This window comes from Homo sapiens, chromosome 1, assembly GCF_000001405.40.
Source record: "Homo sapiens chromosome 1, GRCh38.p14 Primary Assembly".
NCBI classification, from domain to species: Eukaryota; Metazoa; Chordata; class Mammalia; order Primates; family Hominidae; genus Homo; species Homo sapiens.
Window position 1 is genome coordinate 4653669 of NC_000001.11, and position 25276 is coordinate 4678944.

General features: G+C 53.3%; 1 protein-coding gene across 3 annotated transcripts in view; it reads left to right on the forward strand.

Moving 5' to 3' along the window:
• The first annotated feature begins 940 nt into the window (after positions 1–940).
• The window catches only part of AJAP1 (adherens junctions associated protein 1), a 137926-nt gene continuing 113590 nt past the window's right edge, over positions 941–25276 (forward strand). For all 3 annotated transcript variants that reach the window (XM_011541786.3, NM_018836.4, NM_001042478.2), the window contains exon 1: positions 941–1786. In XM_011541786.3, coding sequence (XP_011540088.1) covers positions 1758–1786 — 29 coding nt within the window. In that variant the 5' untranslated portion in view covers positions 941–1757. The remainder of the gene's footprint in view (positions 1787–25276) is intronic.

Genomic DNA, 25276 nt, shown 5'->3' on the forward strand with positions numbered 1-25276 from the left:
GTCTGCAGAGGATTCCGCCCCATGTCACTTCTCTCAGTGAAAGGTCCCCGCCCAGCGTCTGTCCTCCTTTAAGTGCCCCCCATTTGTTTTTTGTTGTTGTTTTTGTTTGTTTTTTGCAAATACAGACTAACCAGGTAGGCACAGAGGAGTCCTGGCATGGGAAGGGAGCAGTGAAACGCCGGTGGAGAGTCCGGGAGGCCCAGATTCCCTGGAACTTTCCAGTGACTCCTCCGGAGCAAGGGCCTGGCCAGGCAGCAGCTGCGCTGGGCGATGAGGGACCGTTGGGTAATTGGGGGCATAGGACCGGGCTTCGCTGGGTTCGGGGCAGAAGCGCCGAAGCTCCGACCCGGAACGCGGTGACTTCATCAACGCAGAAGCCCGCGCAGCCGAGCAGAGGAGTCCCTCGTAGGCGACCCTCGGACAGACGCTCCTGCGCGGCCCGCGTGGCTCAGCTCCGCCCCAGGAAACTTTTCGCGCAGCCCCCGCTCCATGCGCCCCCACCCAGTCCTTCTTCGGGGCCGCCCCCTCCCCAAAGTAGCTCTCCGGGTCCACTGGGCGCCCCCGTAACCGGGTCGGAACCTCGAACGGCTTCGCGTGCCATCCGGTTACCCTGGCAACACCATCCGGCGGCGCCCGGCGGTCCAATCCTAGCCTGCGGCCTCTCTCGAGCCTTTCGCAAGGTGGGGACCGGGACGCGACCGGGGATGGGGAAGGGGGCTGCAGGAGGCCCCGCCTGCGCTGTCGCCCCTGCTGGGCACAGCGCCCCCCACCACCCGCGGCGACCCCGGCCCCCGCAAGGTGGGGCGGCGAGCAGGAGCCGGGGCCAGGCCAGGGGCTCGAGCTCCCGTTCGAGGGGCGGGGAAGGCGGGTGACGTGAGCCGGGCCGGGCGGGCGGAGTTGGGACCGGCTCCGGGAGGCGGGGGCGAGCGCGCGGAGAGGCAGACGCGAGGAGGGAGGCGGCTGAGCAGCGCGGGCGGCTCTGCGGCGGGCGCGGTGGGCGCGGGCGGCGGGGCCCCGGGATCCCCGCGCGCCTCCTCCGCGCGGCGCCGCCGCCGCGCGTCCCCACGCCCCGCGCTCCACGGCGCCCTCGCCCCGCGCGCCTCTCGTGCCCGCCTCCTGCCAGTCTCCGGGCCGCGGCCGTCTGCAGAGCGAGCGCTCAGACGGAGCCCCCGGGCAACTTGAGTGGCGCCGATCGGCGGCGGAGCCTCTGGCAGAGCCCCCCGACCCGGCAGCGCGGAGGGGACTCGCGTCCGTCCGCGTCGCGTCACCCCAAACCCTAAGCAGCGCCGCCCCATCGGCGCGGAGCTCCGGCTGGAGGCAAGAGCCGCGCGCCGGGAGACACGCACCGTGAGCGGCAGCGCCGCCGGCCTCCCTCCTCGCCGCCCCGGAGGGCGAAGCCGCGGCTCCCCAGCCCTTTGCTGCGCCGCGACAGCGCCGGAACACGCCCCGCCTCGCTGCCGCCTTCGCTGTGCCGCCGGCGGAGGGGGCCGCGAGCCCCGCGCCCCGGCCGGAGGATGTGCGCCCCCGCGGGCCGCCCAGCCTGAGCCATGCGCCCCAACGGCGGCGGCGCGCCGGCCGGCATGGAGCCCCGCGCGGCCGCGCTCTGACTCGCTGTGCGCCCCGCGGCCGGCGGGCGGCGGGAGGCGGCGGACCGAGAGCCGGAGACCGGCGCCGCGGGACGGAAGCGAGCGGGCGCGGGCGCCGCGCAGATGGCCTGGGCGAGCCAGGTCTGAGGCCCCGCTCCCCGAAACGTGACCATGTGGATTCAACAGCTTTTAGGACTCAGGTGAGCGACCCGGCCGGCGCCGGGTGCGTGTGGGCGCGTGGGTGCCAGGCTGGGCGGAAGCGGCGCTTTCCTCTATGTTGCAAATCAAGGGACCCCTCTTCGCTTCCCGCAAGCGGGCAACGGGGTGCACCGGTAGCCGGAAAGGGGCGCCCGCCCGGAGCCTGGAGCAGCACCGCGGCCCTGGCGGGGAGCGGCCGGGTCTCCAGGGTTCCGCGCGTCCGGGGTCGGGGCAGCGGCGCCCGCCCCAGCAACCCGGGAAGTGGGGCCGGCCAGGCGCGCCCGCAGCTCTAGGAGCCAGCAGCGCAGTGTCCTGGCCGGCTGCCCCGGCGCGCCTCCTCCCCGGGGCCCGGGGCGAGGCGCCGGCCGCTGGGCGCGGCGGGCGCGGGGGCCGGGGCTGCCGGGGAAAGCTAAAGCTCCGGGCTCCCAGCGAGAGCTTCGCAGGCGGAGTTGGAGGAAACCACAGCCAAACAGCCACTCCGCTCCCCCTTCTCCTTTCTCGGGGCCCCGGGGCTGAGCAGGGGCCTCCCAGGCTCCCAGCTGCCGACCCAGCTGTTTGCGGGTGACCTCCGGGCCCGACGGGCGCTCACAGCTGGCGGGCAGCTGGGGCGGGAGAGCTGGGGTTCTTGGGGAGCTCCGGCGGCCACCCCGCTGTAAACACACACGCACATACGCCCGCCGGCGCGCCCGGGGCTTGTCTGTGTCTGGGACTCCAGGGCCAGATGGAAGAGGGGGTTCGAGCCTAGAGCCCGTGGTGGGGGTGTCCAGAAAGACCCTTCTCGGCAAACTTTGCCAGCCCGCCGGGGTTCTCGGGCTTCTCTGGCTTCTGCCTGGGGTGGCCCAGGGCCCACCAGAGCACAGCTGTCGTTTTTGCTGGGCAGGCTGCCTCTGAGCCCTCGCCCTCCTGCCGGGGCATTCACCGAGCTCGTGCATTTGGGTCCCGGGTTGGAACCGCGAGCGGGGAGGACAGAGGTGGAGGCGGAGAGCAGCGTGCGGTTCTCGAGTTTGTCCACTGGGATGCACTGCGCTCCCGCGTTGGGGACGAAAAGGCCAGTAGTTGTTAGCCCGCTGCTTGAGCCGCCCCCACTCAGGGATGAAGCTGCGGGGGGAGTGAGGCGAAGGGAGGGAGGATCTAGTGCGTGTCCTGATTTTGAGAAATCGGAAGGGGACTGGGACGCCAAGTGTTTTCTAGCGACCCTTGATTTATGAGCCGATTCTGCTCCCAGAGGTGAATACTGTGTAACACATCTAGTGAACATTGTCAGATGTTATTATTAGCATCCCTTCTCTCAGTGGCCGATCTTGCTGTGGGCTTCAAAGGTTAATCATGGAGCCGATTGTGTTGGGTGTGGGATATTGGTCGGGCGTGAATCGATAAGTGTGCTTGGGCTAGATAAGGTTTAGGCTTGGACCGTTGTGGGATGTTGGCAAAATGGAGCGAGGACAGCTTTGCAGGAATGACCCTGATCCAGGTGCCCTGGAGGCCTGCCATCCCCTGCTCTGCCCCGGACTGTCCCAGGTCTCAGCAAGACCTTCCAAGGCTTTGTGAATGACCAGACGGGTCCCCACACTGGCCAGTGGCTGGTCTTCAGCTCCGACCTGCTTCCTGAGCTGCCACTTGATTCCTGATGGCAACTTATTTGAACAGACATTTTTTTTTATTGCTAAGTTGCTAGATTAAAAGATGAGTACATTTTGATAAAGGGAGAGAAGAGCAAATATCTTGGAAAGAAGCCTCTCTTTTGATTTGAAATTTACTAAAACAGTTCCTCTCAAGCATCCTCAAGCCGGATCTTGGGATTTTGCTTTAGGAAATAGTTCTGTTGGTTCTTTTGAAGTTTGACCTTTCGTTTTTCCCCCCTCGATGTCAGCACAGGAGATTTTCTGTAAGTGTGCCTTTAAGGACGAGCTGTCACCTATTTGGGATCCTGATGGGAGAGCTCTGTCTTGTTACTGCTGTCTCCTGGCCAGAGAAGGAGGCCTGTACCCAGAGGGTCTGGGTGGTTTTGCATCACAATGGGCACCTGGGGACTCTGAGCCAAAGGGTTGCAAGTTCAAGGTCTGGAAATGCACTTTTTCTTTCAAGACAGCCCTTCACCTTTGCTTGCAAGCCACTCCGCGGCTCCCTAGGTGAGCACTGGGCGTCTTGCTGCCAAGCTTGGAGCCTGGTTAGGACAGGTAGACACTGAGCCTCCAGCTGGGGTGGCAGAAGGCCTGGCTTGCTCCACCATGGGAGAGGTGCAGTGTAACTTGCTGGGCAGGGGGTGGGGGTGGGGGTGGGGTGGGCTTTCTTAGTTCCGGCCCCAGAGACGAAGTCTGGGCTTGGTTATTTACGTCTGTGTTGGAACTGAGCTGTATGTGGAGCTTTTTTTTTTTCTTTTCCCCCCAAGAGGGAGAAGCAGATTGAGACTTATTGAGCAGCTTTTGTGTCTTTTGCGGTGGCATTTAATAGTTGTAGCAGAGCTCCAAAGATACTTTCCATCAGCTGAGAGAGAGGGAGCCACGGAAGGAGACCCAGTGGCTTGACAAGCCCTGCCAGAGCTCACCCGTGGAGGAGGCGCGTATTCAGCAAGCAGCTCAGAGCTCACCCGTGGAGGGGGCGCGTACTCAGCAAGCAGCCCAGAGTTTGGAATTGGCTTCCTGGTTGTGAGTTGCTTCCCAGGCTGCAGACCTCAGATGCTGTGGCTTCCTCAGGGGCTCCGAGCGTCCACCTAATACGTTTGCTGGGTTGCGCTCAGGACTGTGATCCCTAGCAGAGTGCCACGAGCTCATTCCCAGCCCATGTCCCTGCGGCCATCCCATCTGTTCTCCCGCTCCAAGGTTCTGGGGCCCCTTTTGTTTGGGAGGCCCTGGGTGTGTGTGTTGACATAATTCACAGTTCCCCAAGCCCTCTCAGTGCGCGCTGTACCATGTCTGGGCCTCATGGCAGGGATCCATTGGCTTGGCTGTCACCATCCTCGCTGTAGAGTCCCCAGGCAGCTGGGGCTGTGCAGCCCAGCTTTAGCGGATGAAGTCAAACGCGCAGTCCACAAACATTGCGCTCCGGGTGAATCCTGGCTCGCGCCGATTTCCAGCTGCTGCTACTAAATTGATTGCAACTGGAATCTATCTAGTGTCAGCGGCTGTGCTACTCCTCGGGGACAATCATGCTTGACTAAACTGCAAATTTAGGAGGCAGCTCAAATCTTTGGGCAACATCGGTACATACCCCCCTTTCATGCTCACCCCCACCTTGGGGATACACTGGCCAAGTGGAGGAGCTGATGGCAGACTCCTCCCAGTGTGTCCCTGTTGTTTATTTACTTTGATCACCTGCTTCCTTTTCTTCCATGCATTGGAGAGGGGAGCAGGGCAACGCAGCTCAGGAATGGAGACAGCCCCACGCCTGCCGGGGACAGCTGTCTCTGGGTCCCTGGAGGCAGAGCAGCGCCGGCTTCTCCAAGGCATGCACCTGCGTCTTTCTAGCGGGGGTCGCTGGAGGTGCTTCTGGACCCCAACCCAGTCTCCACTTCCACAGCGCCAGTCCCTCTGACCCACACACAAATGGGGTGTTTGGCAGGTGGGGCCCTGTGTGCTCCTGGGTTCTGCATTTCCCTGAGCTTTTTGTGGGAAAGCCACAGGGTACCTGGAGTGTGACCCTGGGTTACAATGAAGTAGGTAAACACAAAACCCTGACTGGATTGCAAACAGCTGAGCCTTCAAGAGCCCAGGGGCTCCTCTCAGGGGTTATATAAGAGTCATCTGTTTTAAATACGTAGTTGCCAAGTTTTCTTCAAAGGGTTACAAGTCAGTAGAGACCAAATTGATGTAAAGATTAGCTTGGAAAGCCAAATATATCCTTGATCTAGATTTTACATTTGAAGTCTGGCTTGAGAGGGTTTCTCCTGCCTGATGCCAATCAGACACAAGGAGGAGACAGGAGCAGGGGCTTTCTGGGGCTAGAGCAGGCAAACGTGGTACAGTCGACTCCATTCTTTCTTCCTCTGAGACCCCTTCCAGGAATTCAAAGGGGCTGGTGAGTCATGAGGCCTCGGAGCAGGGAGTGGTGGTGGTTACATAATTCAGATTAACTCTCAGTTAATCTGCCTTGAATAGAGAGTCAGGCTGGAGGGTGTCCATGTCAGACCTCTGGTGGCCCTTGGGCGTGTCCCCAAGTACATCCGCCTCAGAGCTGGGATAAGATCAGGCACCAGGAGGAGAGAGGAGGACTGGCTACTCCTGGGTCAATCCCAAAAGGTTACTTACTATATGATGATTTCATAGCATTGAAATTGAGGTAGGAGATGGGACTTGACTCTGGAGGTGGGACTCAGACTGTGGACCAAATTGAGGACTAGCTAAAACAGGGACAGGATGGAAGCACCATTCCATAAGACATGCCCGTCAATGTGCCATGTCAGTTTACCATTGCCAGGGCAACACCCAGTAGTTACTGCCCTTTCCATGGCGATGACCTGATGACCCAAAAATCACTACCCCTTCCCTAGAAATTTCTGCATAAACCGCCCCTTAATCTCCGTGGAATTAAAAGTAGGTATAAATACAACTGCAAAGCTGCCCCGAGCTGCTACTCTCAGCACGCTGCCTATGGGGCAGCCCTGTTCTGCAGCGGCAGACACGGAGCTGTCACACTGCCGGACCGGTAACACCACCACACCACCAGAGCTGGAACACCTCCTCAATAAAGCTGTTTTTCTTCTACCACTGGCTTGCCCTTGAATTCTTTTCTGGGCAAAGCCGAGAACCCTCATGGTCTAAGCCTCACTTTGGGGCATGCCGGCCCTGCATCAAAATGACAAAATTATAGACGTGGTACAATACTCATACTACTACTGCTACAGATGAGTAGTTGCCAGGGGTCAAAGAAGGAGTGGGGAACGGAAGGAAAGAGGGTGTGGTTACAAAAGGGCAACATCAGGCCTCCTTGTTGTGATGGAAACGTTCTCTATCTTGACTATATCCGTGTCACAATCCTGTTATATTATTGTATTGTCGTTTTGCAAATGTTACCACTGGGGGAATCTCGGTGAGGGGTACACAGGGTCTCTCTGTATGATGTCTTACAATGCCTGCAATTCCACAGTTAAAATTAAAGGTTTAATTAAAAGAAACAAACTAACATTCTCTACTAATCTGTCAGAGATTAGTGCCTAACTGATCTGACTGGCAAGCATGGGCACACGTGTGTGTATGTGAGTATTTAGCTTTTTTAGGGGTCGTGTATTTGTATTTAACAGCAGTCAAAGGTGATGTGGAAATGGGGAAAGGGGTAAAAAAATTGTTTTACAAAACTTGCTCAGTTATGTCTCTACCACATATTTTAGAACGAAAAATTCAGCAGCATATGAACGTGCAGTGTTGCTAATGTTATGAGATCCATCATCGGTGACAGTAATAAATGACTTCAGGCATAATTATTGGATAAGAAGATCTGTCCACATCTTTACGTAAATTAGGTCAACTCTGAAGATAGAGCAGGTTTTCGGGGTCAGCCCCACTTTTCTACCCTGGCTTATAGGCTTCAAGACCATATTCTGAGGATTTTAAGTCAAACACAAAAACAGCTGGTTTCCTGTTTCTAGATCAGGGAAACATGAGCCTCAAGCTTGAGAAGGCAGACACTGGTTTGTGGCTTTGCTCTTATCACCTCATTTGGGGCTTTATGATAAAAGAACTGGGGGCTGGGGTGCTCTATGAGGACTTGTTGAATGAAACTGGGAGATACAATGGGCAGCTCTATCAGATTTGTCTGTGAACTTCTGAGATATCATGACCTACACCTGATACTCTTTCTCTTTTCACATCCAGATGGGAGGTGCTGGAACTAATACTGTAATACTGCTAGGCTTTTCCTAAGCCAGGCTTTGTGCTAAGTGATCTGATCCAACGGTGCTAAACTGTTCAGCCATTCTGCATTGTCCCACTCCACCCTCATGTTCCTCAGGGTGGCCCTGCAAGGCAGGTATTATTGCTCCCATTTCACACAGGAGAAAACTGGAGCACAGAGAGGTTAGGTAATTTGCTCAAGGTCACACAGCTAGCTCATGGGAGAGGTGGGATTTGAACCCAGGTTTCCAGGACTCGAAGGTCCATTCGTGCTCCTTATGCTGACCTCTGTGGCTTTCTTGTCTTATACAAAATCTACTTCTTACTCACTTTATTAAGTTACAGGTTGCCCTTTTGGGAAACACAAAACAAAATTTTCAAACAACAACAACAAAAAATAAAACAAGAAGGACCCAGCTGCTGTGATGCCAAGTCAGCACTTCATGGATTTAGCCGTGTGTTCAGCTGACTCTGAAATCACAAGTCTCTCTGGTACCCATGATTTTAAGTAAAAGGTTTATGGTCAAATGACAGATTATTTTGCAGCACAGAATTAATGAAACGTCATGGGGAGATGAAAACCTATCTGTGACACAGATACTGCTATTCAATCTATTTAATAATTAAAAATAAATATGTCACCAAATCCAAGGAGGCCTCTATCGAGAGCTTTCTTGAAATTAAAAACTGTGGAAATCAATGAATGATCACATTGAGAAAGTTGGGTTTAGCATAAGAAGTCTGAGTAAAAGGAATTGCCCTTTATATTTGTGTGTGTGTGTGTGTGTGTCTGTGTGTGTGTGCATTTTTTTTGAAGCACAATTTACATGCAATGAAATGTATCCATTGAAAGTATATGGTTCATTGATTTTTAGGAAATTGGCCGAGTTGCACAACTATTGCCATGGTCCAGTTTCAGCACGGTTGCTTCACCCCTGATAAGATCCCTTTTGCTGTTTGTAGCAATCCCCGTTCCTGCCTCCAGCCTTTGACGACCACTCCTCTGATTTGGCCTTGATGGATTTGCCCATCCTCACTATTCCTGTAAATGGAATCCTCCAGCATGTGGTCATCCTTTTTGTCTGCCTTCTTTAGTGTCATGTTCTGAGGTGTGTCTACGCAGTAGCTTGCCACGTCATTCCCTTTTTGTTCCTGAATGGTATCCTGATTTTCAGACATCCCGTTGGCTTGCCGGTTCACCTGCTGATGCACCGTTGGGTTGTTGGCATGTTGGGGCTGGGGGAGCAGCGCTGCCATGAACTTCGCGTGCACGCCTCGGGATGGATGTTGTTTTCATTTCTCTTGCCTCCACGTTATACTTTATAACCACAGACGTCAGTGCTCGGTGGGGCCGCAAGAAGCCCCTTATGTGTCGTTAGATGGATGGAAAATGTGCCGGGCTAGGCGCCCGTGGTCCAGCTCTGGGGTGGGATAGGCTCCTCCCTCTTGTTCTAAAGAGAACTCCCTACACACAAGCCATTGTTGATTCGAACATTTCGCATTCAATAAGCATTTATTGAGTGTCGAGTGCATTCTGCCACGGGGATGTGTTTTGGTTCGATGGAGAACAGGCATTTCCATTCTGCCTTGGTATAAAGGGGAATATTTTGAAGCATTAGAAGAAGTCCTATCTGGTCAGATGCCTGGAGGTGGAGGGGAGAGGGTCAGTGGTCTCTTGAAGGACCCAAACTGTGCCTACTCCCCTGCACGTGGAAAGTGTGGGCTTCAGGGGGCTTCCAGGGAATGTAAGGGAGGCAGCCGTGCCTCCCCCTTCCCAGGGGGGCAGTGGGGCCAGTTTGGGGAAACCATCCTCATGGAGCATCATCTAGTGAGGGCTGAAGGGCATCATTTTGTTTTTATTTTATTTATTTTTTTATACTTTGAATAGATTAGGTCTTGCTGTGTTGCCCAGGCTGGTCTCAAATGCCTGAGCTCAAGCGATCATCCCACCTCAGCCTCCTAGAGTGCTGGGATTCCAGGCATGAGTCTCTGCACCCAGCCAGGCATCATGTTTGATGGATGAGGCAGGGCCAGGGTCATAGGCACAGGGCAGACTGTGGAAAGCACCTCCAGAAAGCACGGGTGTTGGTGGGTGTTAGATGCTGCCACTCACAGAAGGGGCAGCCCTCAAGCAGGCCATGGATTCCAGGAATTCCATGATGGGGATTGTTCGGCACCAACCACAGACTTGGAAGAACCCAACTGCATAAGAGGGAGAAATTAAGAGAACATTTCCCATCCTGGGGTAGATGACAGCGAACCCATGGCGCCCAGGCACCTCAAATGCAGGCTGCAGGTGGGAGGAGGGTGGCGCCTGGAGGAGCTCCTGGCATCCCTCTTGTGCTGGCCCCATGAGTGTGGATGAGGGTCTCGGCTCAACTGGCCCCAGACGGTCTTTGTATTCAGCTGCCAAGTTGTTAGCTGCCCAGACCTAGGGGTGGGGAAAAGATCTCAACTCTTGCAACCGGTGTGGACTCTTCGGTAGTTGCTTCTTCGAGCTCTGTGTAGAGAAGGATTCTGAGTTCTTCTGGGGATTTAGAGAGAGAAAAGTGCCTACAGACTGTTTGCCGTGTCTGCATAGGACATGGGATGAAAGAAGGGTGACTCCAGTACTGCAAAACTGCCCTTTTCGGGAGGCCTGGGTGCGGGGCTTGCTCATAGCCGCAGGTTCTTTCTCATAAACACCCTCACTGAGGCCTGTGTATGCAACATATCAGTGAACAGTTGCATGACACTTACTATGTAGCAGGCACTGTTCTATGCCCGTGCCGTATCTTAACTCATTCCTACATTGCTATGGTAGGAGCACTTTAAGGATCTCCTGTGTGCAGAGAAGGCACAGAGAACCTGAATGAATTTCCCCAGGCCACACAGCAAGTAAATAGCAGAGCCCGCACTCAAACCCAGGCACTCAGCTCCAGCATCTGGCCTCTGAACCGTTACATCCTGTTCTTCCTAGTCTAGAAGAACACTTTGGATTGGATGTATTTAAGGAATACAGCATCCACCAGGCTGGGGCAGGCAGCCAAGTATGGGATTTGAGCCCAGCATCCAGGGCCAATTTCCTTGCTGCCTGGCACCGCACAGAACATACATGGATGCCCATGGTATGGAGGTGAAAAGGACATGCCTGGAGCTTCAAGCGTTCTGAGCCTGGTAGGGGGACAATGGTGGTGGAGTTGCCAGGTGACAGCAGCAGCCTGTCCGGGTGGTTGGGCCCAAGGGTCAGCCCTGCTTAGAGTACAGCAGGGACCACCTCTCACCAGCTGATCCCCACCATCAGCTGGGGGGCCCCGGTCATGCCCTTCTGCCGGGGTGTCATTTTTACACAGGTGAAGAAAGAGAATGGACCCAGGAGAGAGCTGGCGATTTTGCTCATTTCCTGGGCTGCCCTTTGGTGGCATCTGCCTGGCTCTCATTTGCTTCTACTTGGAGCATCTGAATGACTCAATGACAGAGTCCCGTAACCACCCTACCAGGCTGACTACAGCCCTGATCAGACAGAAGTCAGTATCCTGCTGTGGATTCAATTTCCCGAATGGTTGCAGAGAGCCATCTTAGGCAAGGGTGAAGCAATCACCCACGGATGGTGCCGGTAGACTTCCTAGGCATGCAGCTACGATATATATAAAAGATTCAGTTACTAGGCAGGGTCATTGTATTTGGCGTGTTAGCAAGGAACCTATCTGAACCACGATGTCAGCCTTTGTGGCAGAAGCCTCTGCCCCAGGACCAGCTGAGGATTGTGCTCTCTGGCTTGGAAAGGAGTGTGGTAAAATGCGGAAAAAGCCCCACGAGAGCTGGTTTTCAGTCGACGCCCCCACCCCCCTCTTTTTTGTCAAGAGAAAATTCAAGACTGTACCCAGATGCTGAAAAAAGCTGTGCTTCCTGCTGAGGGACACGGTGGCTTTCAGAAGGCAAGGATTCTTTAGGGAGCCAATTATGCGAGACAAGAGTAAGCATGTTTATTTTTATGACACTGCATTTCAAAATCCCAGAAAATGTTGATGGAATGGCCCCATTAGGCGCCTGGGTCTCCTGGATGCTGTGGCATTACACTGTGCAGGCTTCCAGGGGCATTTTGGGGACTCTTGATTAAGCCCCGGTACTGGGCTAATTTACTGCCCATTACTACCCTGGAGGGTCTCTTTGAACACTCACAGCTCCAGGTTCCTTCTTCCTTCAGCATTTTTTGGGCTAATTTGATTCTCTGCACAGAAGCCTGATGCTCTGGGAAGACCTGAGCCGCCACACTCACTCCAACAGCATCTGTTTCTCAGGCTCTCACCCCGACGGTCCCTGGGGAGCACTGGGCTGGGGTTTTGTGGCACCAGCCACGCAAGTGGTCCCCCGAGAGTCTGCTGGCCCCAGGTGAGAGCCAGGCAGCGTGACAGGTATGGTAGCCACTGAGGTTTGTCCTGGGACAGGCTGCCTATGGGCCTGACATCCAGACACTTTCATGCAGCAGACACGGATGAGTGGCCACCGCGTGCTGGGTGCTGTGCTGGGCACAGGGATGAAAAGACCCCTCTCCTGGTCCTACAGGAACTCCAAGTGGAGGAGAGGACAGAGGAGCAAATGGAATTGCAGGAGCCAAGAGGAAGAAGGAGATGGGGAAGGTTTCCCAGAGGTAGCAGCGTTTGACTCCCTTCTCAGAGGATGAGAGGAAGGAAGCCCATTGGGCCCGAGGAGGAAGGGACAGCCAGGCGGAGGGAATGGGGTGGCTGCCGTTTACGGAGCACTGGTGGTGAGTGTGCTGCACAGATGGGGATGTGGAGGCACCCCGCAGTGAAATAGCCCACTGAGGCTCCTCCGGCCCACCCAGGAGGGGCACCCCGCAGTGAAATAGCCCACTGAGGCTCCTCCGGCCCACCCAGGAGGGGCACCCCGCAGTGAAATAGCCCACTGAGGCTCCTCCGGCCCACCCAGGAGGGGCACCCCGCAGTGAAATAGCCCACTGAGGCTCCTCTGGCCCACCCAGGAGGAGGGCAGGGCAGGTGTATTTGGGTCAGCCCTTAGGAGTTGGGTCTGTGAAGCTGGAGAGGAAGGTGTATGTTGCGGGGGGAATGCTTGGAGGAGACTGGAAAGGCCAGCAGGCCCCAGGACTGGAGCCATCTAGGGCCAGGGTCCCAGGGAAAGTGTCATGCTCTCTGCCCGTGTGCGTTCAAGGGGAAAGCAAATGACAGACCCTGGGGAGTGAGGGGTGCAGAGAGGGGGCCCGTGACTCACAGGAGGGGTGCGGAGAGGGGCCCGTGAATCACGGGAGGGGTGCGGAGAGGGGCCCGTGAATCACGGGAGGGGTGCGGAGAGGGGCCCGTGAATCACGGGAGGGGTGCGGAGAGGTGCCTGTGAATCATGGGAGGGGTGCGGAGAGCGGGCCTGTGATTCACCAGAGGGTTGCAGAGAGAGGCCCAAGAATCGCGGGAGGGGTGCGGAGAGGGGCCTGTGAATCACGGGAGGGGTGCGGAGAGGGGCCCGTGAATCACGGGAGGGATGCGGAGAGGGGCCCGTGAATCACGGAAGGGTTGCGGAGAGGGGCCCATGAATCACGGAGGGGTTGCAGAGAGGAGCCTGTGAATCACAGGAGGGTGCAGAGAGGGGCCCATGAATCACGGGAGGGTTATGGAGAGGGACCCGTGAATCACGAGAGGGGTGCGGAGAGGGGCCCATGAATCACGGAGGGGTTGCAGAGAGGAGCCTGTGAATCACAGGAGGGTGCAGAGAGGGGCCCGTGAATCATGGGAGCTGCGTGGGATGGAACCTCTGTGTCCTGGTGGAGCAGCTTAGTTTTGTGGAAGGAGAGCCCTGGGGTAAGCAGAGGGAGGGAGAGGCAGCCCTCTGGGGCTGTGGTCTTAGGGAAGTCCCAGAGGACTCCCCAGGCGGGGAAGACAACTGGCCTGGCCCCAGGAAACACGTCTGCGGTCAGTTGCCATGATTCCCAGGCTCTGCTTTTACTCAGAATTAGTCTGAGGGAAAATGCCAGCCTAGACCACGTGGGCACAAAGGTGTGACAGGCCCTGACGACCCAACTTTCCTTTCCTGAGTCTCTTGCTGCTTCTCCACCCTTCCAGCCCCAACCAGCCACCTGCCCCTGCCCCTCCGTGGGGACCTTCTCACCTTACAACAGCAGTCCCCAACCTTTTTGGCACCAGGGACCAGTTTCATGGAAGACAATTTTTCCAGGGACAGAGCGGGTGGATGGTTTCTGGATAAAACTGTTCCACCTCAGATCATCAGGCATTAGATTCTCATAAGGAGTGCACAACCTAGATCCCTCACATACATGGTTCACAGTAGGGTTAGTGCCCCTGGAAGAATCTAATTCCACTGCTGATCTGACAGGAGGCGGAGCTCAGATGGTGATGCTGGCTCACCCACTGCTCACCTCCTGCTGTGAGGACAGTTCCTAACAGATGCTGGTACTGGTTCATGGCCCAGGGTTGGGGACCCCTTCCTTAGAGAACCGGACCCCCAGTCAGTTGCTGCTTGGGGTGAAGTCATCGTCCCACCCAAGCTGTGGGTCTGAATTTTGGGAAGAGCCCCTGAGACACAAGGCAATGAGCCCACAGCACTGAGTGAACATGGAGGTTTCAAGTGGGAAGGGGAAGACGTTTGGGGAAGTTGGATTCCTCCCTAAAGAATGCCGTTAGGGTAAGGCCAGGAGTGTTTGCTCATGCCTGTAATCTCAGCACTTTGGGAGGTAGAGGCGGGAGGAAAACTTGAGGTCAGGAGTTCAAGACCAGCCTGGCCAACATGATGAAACCCCATCTCTACTAAAAATACAAAAATTAGCCAGGCGTGGTGGTATATGCTTGTAGTCCCAGCTAGTCAGAGGCTGAGACAGGAGAATTGCTTGAACCTGCGAGGCAGAGGTTGCAGTGAGCTGAGATCGCACCACTGCACTGCAGCCTGGGTGACAGAGTGAAACTCTATCTCAAAAAAAAAAATGCCATTAGGGTGGCAACTTTCTTCCTCCTTGTGTGGGGCCAATCCTGTGTATTTGAAGCTAAAAGCCCTCTTCTTAAAGTAGCTTAGAGAGCAGTGCTGTGTGTGTGTGTGCGTGTGCGTGTGTGTGTGTGTGTGTCTGTGGGTGTCTGTGTGTTGTGAGGTTGTAGGTGTGAGGCATCAGTTGACTTTAAAATGCCCAAGTAATACATGTCTGCACTTTTTCCTTCATCAACTGAAAAGCTGTTTAAAAATGTAATTAACAAAATCTCTCAGCAGACCTTCAAGGTCAGGAAATATTATTAGCCTTATTTCACAGATGGGTAAACTGAGGCAGAGCAGGAGTAAGCAACTTTCCTAAGGTCATACAAAGGCAGCAGAGTGGTGCCTGAGGACTCCAAGAGGAGTGTGCCCGTAACTCAGGCTCTGGTGGCTCAGTCCTGGGACGGGGATTCCTGGGGAGTGTGGGGCTCATCCATCTCTGTTTCCGCAGGTTGTGCATATCCTGGAGCCGGGGTCCCCTGCCTGGGAGACGGGGCACATCCAGGGTTAATGCCCACGGGGTGGAGCCTTCACTGTCCAGGCTTTCTTGCCGGGCTCTGCCTGCCTTTTATTTTCCCTCATTTTCAGTGAGAGACTGAAGTCCATGACAATTCCTTACGTAGGAATTCTGGTGTTCCCAGTGAGTCACAAGTAGGTAGAATTTATGTCAGTTGCCACAGGGCAATTTGAATTTTACAGGAGATAGTCAGAGTCAGTCAATGAGAGGGACCTAGATTCAGACAACAGGAAGGAGTCAGACTCAGCCAACATTTTTTTAGCTTGCTTTTAAAATTGAAGTGAAATTCACATAACATAAAATGAGCTATTTTAAAGTGTAAACTTCAGTGACATTTCGTGTGTTCACAATGTTGTGCAACCATCACCATTCTTTAGTTCCAAGACCTTTTCATCACCCTAAAAGGAAACTCCATGTCTTTTAGCAGTCATTCCCCGTCCCCCTGGAAACCACTTACCTACTTCCTGTGTCTTCAGTATGGCCTGTTTTGGACATTTTATATAAATGAGATCATACAATTAATACATTCTTATACTGCTATGAAGAAATGCCCGAGACTGGGTAATTTATAAAGGAAGAGGTTTAATTGACTCACAGTTCCGCATGGCTGGGGAGGCCTCAGCAAACTTACAATCATGGCAGAAGGCAAAGGAGAAGCAGGCACCTTCACAGGGCGGCAGGATGAAGTGAGTGCAAGCAGGGGAAATTCCAGGCGCTTATAAAACCATCAGATCTCATGAGCACTCACTCACTATCACGAGAACAGCATGAGGGAAACCGCTCCCATGATCCAATGACCTCCACCTGGTCCCGCCCTTGATTGTGGGGATTATTACAATTCAAGGTGAGATTTGGATGGGGACACAGCCAAACCACATCATACAATATGTAACCTTTTGTGTCTGGCTTCTTTCACTTAGCATAATGTTTTTTAGTTCACCCACATTGTAGCGTGCATCAGTACTTCACTCCTTTTTATGATGAATTCTGTGCCACACTGCAGATAGGCTACGTGCTGTTTGCCTGTCCATCCACTGATGGACATTTGGGTTGTTTCCACCTTTTGGCTGCTGTGAACATTGCTGCTGTGAACATACATGTACAGGTGTCTGTTTCGGTCCCTGTTTTTGATCCTTTGAGGGACATACCTAGGCATCAACACTTCTTGGACACGGGCTTTATCCACAATTGCCTAGTTACGGCACTGCTACAGCATTTGTGTGATCTTTGGAAGTTCCCATGGTTTTTCTGAGCCTCAGTTTTCTCATCTGAAAAACGGGGATGTCACTCAGCCCTGCACAGGGCTGGAAGGATGGTGACCCCCTACCATTTACAGGTGGCTGCCCAGCAACAGAGCCAATGCAGGCTCCTTCCCCATCTCATCCTAGATTGCAGACAGGCCTCTCTATGCCTGTGCACCTTGTTCACAGCGCTGGGCCTGTGGCAGCCGGTCTGTCTTTACTCCTTACACATCCCCAGGGAGGAGGCTCAGTGAGAAGCAGCACTTTTTATCAGCTCTGCACTAAAGAGGAATTATGAACCATTTTGGGAGTGGATTAAAGCAATTGCCCCGGGATGAATCTTATTCTTGGTGCCTTTTCCTTTCCCCTTTTCCTGGACCTCAGAGCTGAGCCATGTGATCTACTGAAAAATACCCAAGTCGACATTGATCCTTTTAGTATGACATCAGCCCTGACCCACAGTAACAAGGAACTTGTGACCCACCCATGTACGGTGAACTGGGAGCTTCCCTGGCAGTGACCTGGTTTGTGAGCCTGTTACTTTTCACTGGAAGCAGCGTTCTTGCTGGCATGGAAGCATGCTGCCTAGGCTCCTGCTGGATCCCTGCAAACTGCCTGGTTTCCCCACTCCAGTGCCCAGGTTGTCGAGCCATGACGAGTGCAGGTCTCATCGCCCAGCCTCATTGGTCTCCAGTTTCCTATCCCAAGAATGCACTGGACAGCCTGTTCAGGAAAATGAGTGAAATTAAGCAAATTAACTGCAACACAGTTTTCCAGAGTGTTCCAGAATGTTCTTCCCTTTCCCTTCCGGAGGAGAGGGAACAGAGCAAATGACAACAAACATTTCTGTTTTTGGAAAGCATGTAAAAACAAAGTCTTCCATCACTGTAACAGACCCAAGACTTCAGTACCTGGCTGTGCCTGGGCTGTGGCCCTTCAAGGCCCTTCTAAGGGATTTGCTATCATGCAAGTCATTTAAGCTGTTATCCTGTGTTGTCTCATCATTTCTCCACATAGGTGATTGTAATAGGCGCATGTGTTGGTCTTTTAGAGTCTGCATCACAGGCCAGGCACGGTAGCTCATGCCTGCAGTCCCAGCTCTTTGGGAGGCCGAGGTGGGAAGATCACTTGAGGTCAGAAGTTCAAGACCAGCCTGGCCAACATGGTAAAACCCTGTCTCTACTAAAAATGCAAAAAATAGCAGGGCATGGTGGCAGGCGCCTGCAATCCCAGCTACTAGGGAGGCTGAGGCAGGAGAATTGTTTGGACCTGGGAGGAGGAGGTTGCAATGAGCTGAGATTGCGCCACTGCACTCCAGCCTGGGCAACAGAGCGAGACTCTGCCTCAAAAAAAAAAAAAAAAGAATGGCAGCTGATTGTCAGGAGGACATAGGACATGATGCTGTGGCATGTGCACTGCATCCATTACCTCCCTTTGTCCCCAGCCCACTTAGAGCCCAGGGCCCTGTGGTCTTTCTGTCTCAAAGGTATGGAGCCACAGGCCCCAGACAGCTCAGTTTTCCTGAGCACCACCAGGAGGAAATGCACCACCGGGAACAAATGCACCACCAGGAACAAATGCACCCACCAACTCTAGCAATTCTTCCTCACACACCTCTTCCAGTCCTGTGACTGCCATATCCCCATTCATCAAATGATGTGGACCTGTTGACGTGGAAACCTTGTTAGCCCTGCTTTTAATCTGAAAGGTATAGGCCCATTATTTTTCCTGCTTTTGTAAATCCAAAGACTGAGCAAAATGGAATCCCTGGGTAACCAGAAAATGTAATTAATGGAAACAAGGTGCTTCACGAGGAAGCTGGTCAGAGCCTGCTTTTATTGTCGTGGTTTAGCCAGGGACCTGCTGTGTAGGTGTCCCCACTGCTCTCAGGCGTTGCAGTAGGAGCAGACTTTCAAAAAGGAAAGCTGTGAGGCACACTGTTCTCCTTATCTCACAGGGCCCTGCAGACCCTCACCCACCATCCCGGGGCGCCTATCAGCCTGGGCGCAGTCGCGTCTGAGACTCACGGAGCTGCTTGTGAATCATGTCGTAACACACACATGTAAAGTAAGGAGGCTGCTGTCTCCCCGGGGTGTGTATTATTATCTGGGATTGTTGTGAATTGCTCAAGAATGGACTGGGAGGAGGGAGCGGTCGGGAGTCACTTGGGCCCTGTAGAGCTGGACTTTATTGCCACCAAATGTCACTGAAGTTATTGGACCCCAAATCACTGCACCATGAAGGAGCGCCAAGCATATCAGACAAAAATGAAACAACCATTCCGCTAGGAGCCCTGAAGGGCCACAGTCATGAATACGGAGACACAGCCAGGTACTTTCATCTTGGGTGCATTACAGTGATGGAAGACTGGTTTTGCATACACTGTGCCCACATGACATGCTGATATTTCCTATTTCTTTTCAAGCCCCTGTGTTTTGCTTCTATATAGATGGGGAAATTCTCAGCTTGGGGATCCCAGGACCACACTGTCTGGCATAAAGTCCTCAGGAGGCTCCCAGGCAGCTCTTTCCTGTGGACCAGAACCCAGGATAGAGGCCCTTCCATTGCACTCCTGAGCTGTCTGCAAAGTCACTTCCAGGGAATGGTGGCTGGGTCTGCCTGGTGCTCCACCGCCCTCCCAGTGTGTGCATCCAGGCTGTGTGAGTGAGAAGGTGGGATCCCAGGCAGATTCCATCCCTGTCCCCAGAGCTGTGAGCAGGATGTGAAACCACACCCCTTAATCCATAACCCCACACAGCAAAGGGGACTTGGCAGAGGTAGGGAAGATTTCTAATCTATTGACCCTTCCGTAGGGAGATCATCCTCAATTATTCCCAGTGGGTCCAGTGTCATCACCGGAGTCCTTGGGTGCAGAGGTGGAAGAGGAGATAGAGATGAGGGCAGGAGGGTGAGGGTGGTGGCCTGAGAGATCTGAAACTTAAAAAGGATCAACACAGCATCATGGCTGGCTTGAAGATGAAGGAGTGCTTCCAGTCGAGGTGGGACCTCTGTCCTACAGCCACAAGGAACTGGATTCTGCTGACAACCTGAATGAGCTTGGAAACAGATTCTTCCCCAAGATCTCCAGAAGGAGACACAGCCCCACCAATGCCTTCATGTCAGCCCAGTGAGATGACCCTGAGCAGAGAATCCAGCTAGTCTTCTCACCAATGGAACTGTGAGCTCATAGGTGGGGTTGGGGGGGTGTTTACACTCCTGTGTTTGGGGTAGTTTGTTATGCAGCAATAGCTAACTAATTCAATAGTTAGCTATCTAAGTACACAGGATGCATGAGTGAGGTGCCACTGACGGCCCAGTGTTCTCACACTTTCTCATTTCCTCTCTCTTTCCCGTCCCCTCCCCTGCCCTTCATCCCTCTTTCTCTGTTCTCTTTCTGTCTTTCTTCTAACAAGAGCTCATGCTTGTTTCCAAAATTAGTGTTGGGACAATTGTAAACAGGTGAGATGTGGGCAGGCCTTCAACCCAGTCCCACTAAAACTCTGGGGACCCGGTATGGTGCCCTCCACAGCTCTGCTCCAGCATGGGAGCCTCCACTGACTCATTCCTTCCTGCACTTTGTATTTGGAGGTGTGGAGGGAGCAGGGGTCATGAGGCTGCTTGTGTGCCGGGGCTGTGGACACAGACGCGGCCAGGCAGCCTTCCCAGGGCATGTCCTGGCTTTGTGTCTCTGGAATTGGCCAGATGAGGGCGAGTCCTGGCTCTGGCTCTGGCTTGGTCAATGAATAAATGAATTCATTCTCAGCGTTTTAGATGTGACTCTTCTTGTCCTCTGATCAAGGCTTTATACGAGTCATGGGCTCTGGAGAGGCTTTACTCCTGAGCCAGGAGCGAGAAGTCAGGGTCTCCGTGAAATGAATTGAACCTCATTACTCCCAAATAGGGCTGCCAGATAAAAGAAAACAGGATGCTTGGTTCTGTTTCAATTTCAGACAAACAAATGTATTTTAGTATAACTATGTTCCAGGTTTTGCATGAGATAGGCTTATCCCCCCCGCCACCAAAAAAAAAAAAAAAAAAAAAAAAGGAACAAAAAGGATTGTTTCTTTCAAATACAAATGTTACTGGGCATTCTATATTTTGGTTAAATCTGGCCACCCGATTTCCAGAGACTGCAAATCGGCCAAGAAGGCAGGGCAGTGGGCAGGAGAGGGCCCTGGAGAGGAGGCTTCACTGAGCTCTAGTTAAGCTTTAGTTGCTGTTCTCTAGGTCAGGGGTTGGCACACCACAGTCTGTGGCTGCCTGACTTTGTAAATAAAGTTTTATTGGCATCACAGCCCACGGCTGCCTGACTTTGTAAACAAAGTTTTATTGGCACCATGGCCCTTGGCTGCCTGACTTGGCAAATAAAGTTTTATTGGCACAGGGGCATGCCCACTGATTTTCATAAGGACAGAGTTGAGTGGTTGTGACAGAAAACGGCCTGCAAAGCCTAAAACATTTTCTGTCTGGGCCTTTTCAGACAAAGGTCAACGACCCCTGCTTTAGGTTCAGAGGTCAGTGCAGAAGCAGAAATACGGAGGGGGCTTTCATATTAGGAGGTCCCTGAGCCCCAGCAGCTGGGTAGGCACCAGGAGTGGCTGGCCAGGCCTTCAGGAGTGGCTGGTGCTGCGGCTGTCAGCTGCTGGTCTTGGGGCCTCCCTTTCCTGGGCTCTGGTTCAGTGGGAAGCTCTCAGAGCTCTAGTTCTCTGAGGGATCGGTCGGGGCCCAGGGCAGAGTGAGCAGGCAGCATTCTGCTCTGCCTGCTTGTCTCGTGTTTTGGATCTCTGGCAGAAAGTTCCATGCAAACGAAAGCCTTGCTTCATCTGCACGCGCCTATTTCTGTCTTGTTGCCTGCCTCTGCTCTTCCTTTTTGACATTCAGCGTTTTCAAACAGAGATTCTGCACAGGGCGTGAGTCACGTTGCCATGTGGCCATGGAGGAGTCGTCTCAGGCACTGGCTGAACCGTCGTCCTGCAGGCTTGAGAATGCTGTCCCTTTGCCATGAAGCCCAGGAGGGCAGTGGTCAGAGCCATCAGGGCTGGAGAGCGGTGGGGGGGAAACAGAGCAAAACCCGTGCCCTCCTCTCCTCCCTAGGCCAGCAATGGGTGTGGGCTTGTGTGAGGATAGAGGGAGTAGTCCACAAGACCACTCCCACTTTTGACACCAACTGCAGTGTTTAGGGGTCCCCAGGACCACCTTCAGCTGCAATAATTCACCAGAAGGACTTGAAGAATTCACCGAAAGCCGTCATACTCACAGTAATGGTTTATTAAAAGGAAAAGACACAGATGAAAGCCAGCCAAGGGAAGACACGCGTGGGGCAGAGGCCAGAAGGGATCCACGCATGGAGTTTCCGGCCATCCTCTCCCATTGAGGTCAGGATACATTGCTTTCTTGGCAACAGTGAGTGACAGTGCCCAGGGAGCATTGCCAGCCGGGGAAGCCCCTGGCCTTGGTGTCCCGAGCGTTTATTACTGGGGCCTCTTAACATAGACCTGGTTGAATGACCATGTGGCCTACCTCAGTGTCCTGCCCCTTGGGAAATGGAGCAGATACCATCTGACCCAAAGCCTCTAGCCTAAATCACATTGCTCGACTGTATGGTGGCCAAGGCCCCCAGGCAAACACAGAAATTCTTATCAGGCAGGACATTCCAGGGGCCCAGAGATGCCTTCCAGGAGCCCAGGGCAAAGGTCTGACCTCTCTTGGGCAAAGTTCTTTACTAAACAATCTGGTTTACACCAGCGACCAGGTGCCTCACATTATTCTACAGTTGATAATGGTGTAGCCCAGGCCAGTTAAACCTGCCCTGAAGATGGTGTGGGCGGAAATTTTAGGAGAGAAGATGGATGGTGAGTGGTTTCTCTCCCGCTAAGGAAGACATTCTGGAGGGTACGGTGGAGTTGCTGCAGAGAAGCTGCGTGGAGTCTGCTCGCCTTCCTGCAGGGGCTGGGACGCCCACGTTTAGGAGGAAGCCCGTCTTGTGGGCTCCCAGCTCTGTGTCCTCGTGCAGGGACGGCCTCTCTCTAGGTAGCTTGCTACTCGTTTTGTGCATCTCCTCTTTCCTGGTTCCTGGATGCTCCGTGTGTTTGGGAGAGGATCCCCGGCGAGTTCATGATGCCCACTGCTGCAGAGGCCAGTGTGCACCGGCCTTGCCTCCTCGTGTCATTTTTGGGGCTAGTGTCTTAGTCACGCTCCTCCGATTTCCTCATCTTCCATGTACTTGCGCATTCTTTATTTTTTTTAACCAGTTCCAAAAAAAGATGATTTGTGTGAAGGGAGTGAAAATTGAGTTTATTTACGACAAATCAGTAGAATCCAAACTTTGGCAAAGAAATCCAGAAGAGGCCACCCGCTTCTGAAACACATCTGGGTGCATCACAGAACGTGAAGCTTCCGGTCCAGCTGGCTTGGTTAGACTCTGACCCTAGCTCTCGTCGTCCTGGGGGCCTGAAGCCACCTGCATTACCCCTTCTCAGAAACAGTGAAACCAACGCTGCCTCAGGGACTCTGGGAAGTCAGCTTTGAAATCATGTGAGACTGAGAGAGAGGGGCCGTTCCTTGGGAAATCCAGCCCACAAAGTAATCAGGAGATGATGGGGGGACGGGAGTGAGGGAGACTGGATTGTCGGGTGCCCAGCTCATCTGTCATCTGGCCTTTGGGGACAACATACTCTCAAACAGATCTTTGCTCTCAGTATTTGCACCAAGGGGGACAGGTGGCACAGAATTAGCCACTTGAAGTTTTTAGCCTGTAGATGCCAAAAGGGGTATTGCATTCTCGAATTTGCCAAGAGTGGGAAGAACATGTGCAATGCTGTTGGCTACAGAGTTTCAAAGAGAAAATAAAATGGCCAGGGGCCGTGGCTCACGCCTGTAATCCCAGCACTTTGGGAGGCCGAGGCAGGTGGATCACCTGAGGTCTGGAGTTCGAGACCAGCCTGGTCAACATGGTGAAACCCCGTCTCTACTAAAAATACAAAAGTTAGCTGGGTGTGGTGGCGTGTGCCTGTAATCTCAGGTACTTGGGAGGCTGAGGCAGGAGAATTGCTTGAACCTGGGAGGCGGAGGTTGCGGTGAGCTGAGATCGTGCCACCGCACTTCAGCCTGGGCGACAAAAGTGAGAATCCGTCTCAAAAAATAAAAGAAAAGCAATGAACCCAAATGCCTCTAATGCGATGCTATGAATTTCACATGATCAGAGGTTGGTAAGTCTGGGTAAGTGACATGTGGCTGGGATGCTGCCAAGGGGGACCCGCCAGCAGACAGTCAGGGTGGGCTGCAGTTGCCTGCAAGTTCTCGCTTTGTAGGGCTCCTAAAGGTTGAGGATTCTGACCTCACACATCCCTGATTCCACGAATAGAGAGGCTGCCCTGTGTGTACAGCTGCCCGGCTAATTAATTGCTTTTATTTGTAGTAAATAAACTCTTCAAATGCAGGAGGGCTTCCACAGGAGCTGGCCAGCGGCTTTTCTCTCCTCTTTCCAGAGGGGATTCCACCTCTCTCTGGGTCCACTCTGTGACGCCAAGCAGATGACAGAGAAGGGATTAAGGAGGGAAGGAAGGATTAAAAAAAAATTTAACATCTGAAACCAAGGCTTGCCATTCAGCGGGCATAAAGCCAGGGTGTGCAGGAGAAACTCTTAAAAAGTCAGCCAGCGGGTATTCATATGGGGCAGATGATATTCCAGGTAATGCTCCGAATGAAAATGATGTGCATTCAAAAAAAAAAATCATGTGCCTATGTGTTGAGGTCATCAGAAGCCAGTAGCTAAATATATCTCATAGGTGATGAAAATGACACAGTTCCTTTCTCTGTCCATTGTGGTGCTGGAGCCAACTATTGCTTCCAGTTGGAATGCCAACTCACTAATTTTCGTAAAACATATAAATATCAGGTGAGGAGGAGTGCTTGTTATGTTCATGAGTAGCACATTTCCTGGTGGCTCGTAGAGGATGTCGATCAGCCCTGGTGCCGTCAGATGGTGGGTACAGCAGCCCCCAGTGGGGTGGGTTGATGCATTTCCCACATACAGCAGAGAAAGCCATGCCAGCAAGACTGCAGCAGGGTGTCCCTTTGGCCAGTGCTAGGGACTGTGTTGAATTACCATCTCCCTTGTGAATCTTTCCTGTGGCCTGAAATTCATAGCATTCCTTTGGGTGCAGTTGAAGAAGAACAAATATTTGTGAAGCAGTTAGAGTGGTGTTGGGTAGAAATGAGCACTTGAAATTGTATCACAAATATGAGTGAATCTGGTCTAGGAGTGTGCACTACTATCTATTGGTTACATACTGCTCATTCACAAATGACAACTCATACATATTATCTCACATGTTCCCTGGGTCAGGAGTCTGGGCACAACTTAGTTGGGCCCTGTGCAAGGCTGAAACCAGATGTTGGCCGGGTCTGTGATCTCATCAGAGGCTCAACTGGGGAAGGATTTACTGCCAAGCTCATGTGGTTGTTAGCAGCATGCATTTCCTTGAAGGCTGCCTGACAGAGGGCCTCTGTTTTCTGCTGGCTGTCAGTGCCTTGCCCTGCAGCCCTCTCCAAATGAGAACTCACAATAAGCCAGCAAGGGAGAGAGTACCCTAGCGAGATGGATGTTACAATCTCATGTACCGTTATCACAGAAGTAACATCATCACCTTTGCTGTATCCTGTTGGCTAGAAGTGAGTCATGGGTCCCACCCACACTCGAGGGAGTGCACCATCTAAGACTGAACACCAGGAGGTGGGGACCCTGCCTGCCTCCTTAGAGCATGTCCACCACTGCGGTCATTTGCTCTCTTTGGGCAGTTCCAAATAATCACTAACATTTATTGACTCAACAGGACTGTGAGCCAGATGCATCTCATTTAAAACATCTTATGTAATCCTCATAACAACCGAGTAGGTATGCTCCTATCCTAATCCTCATTG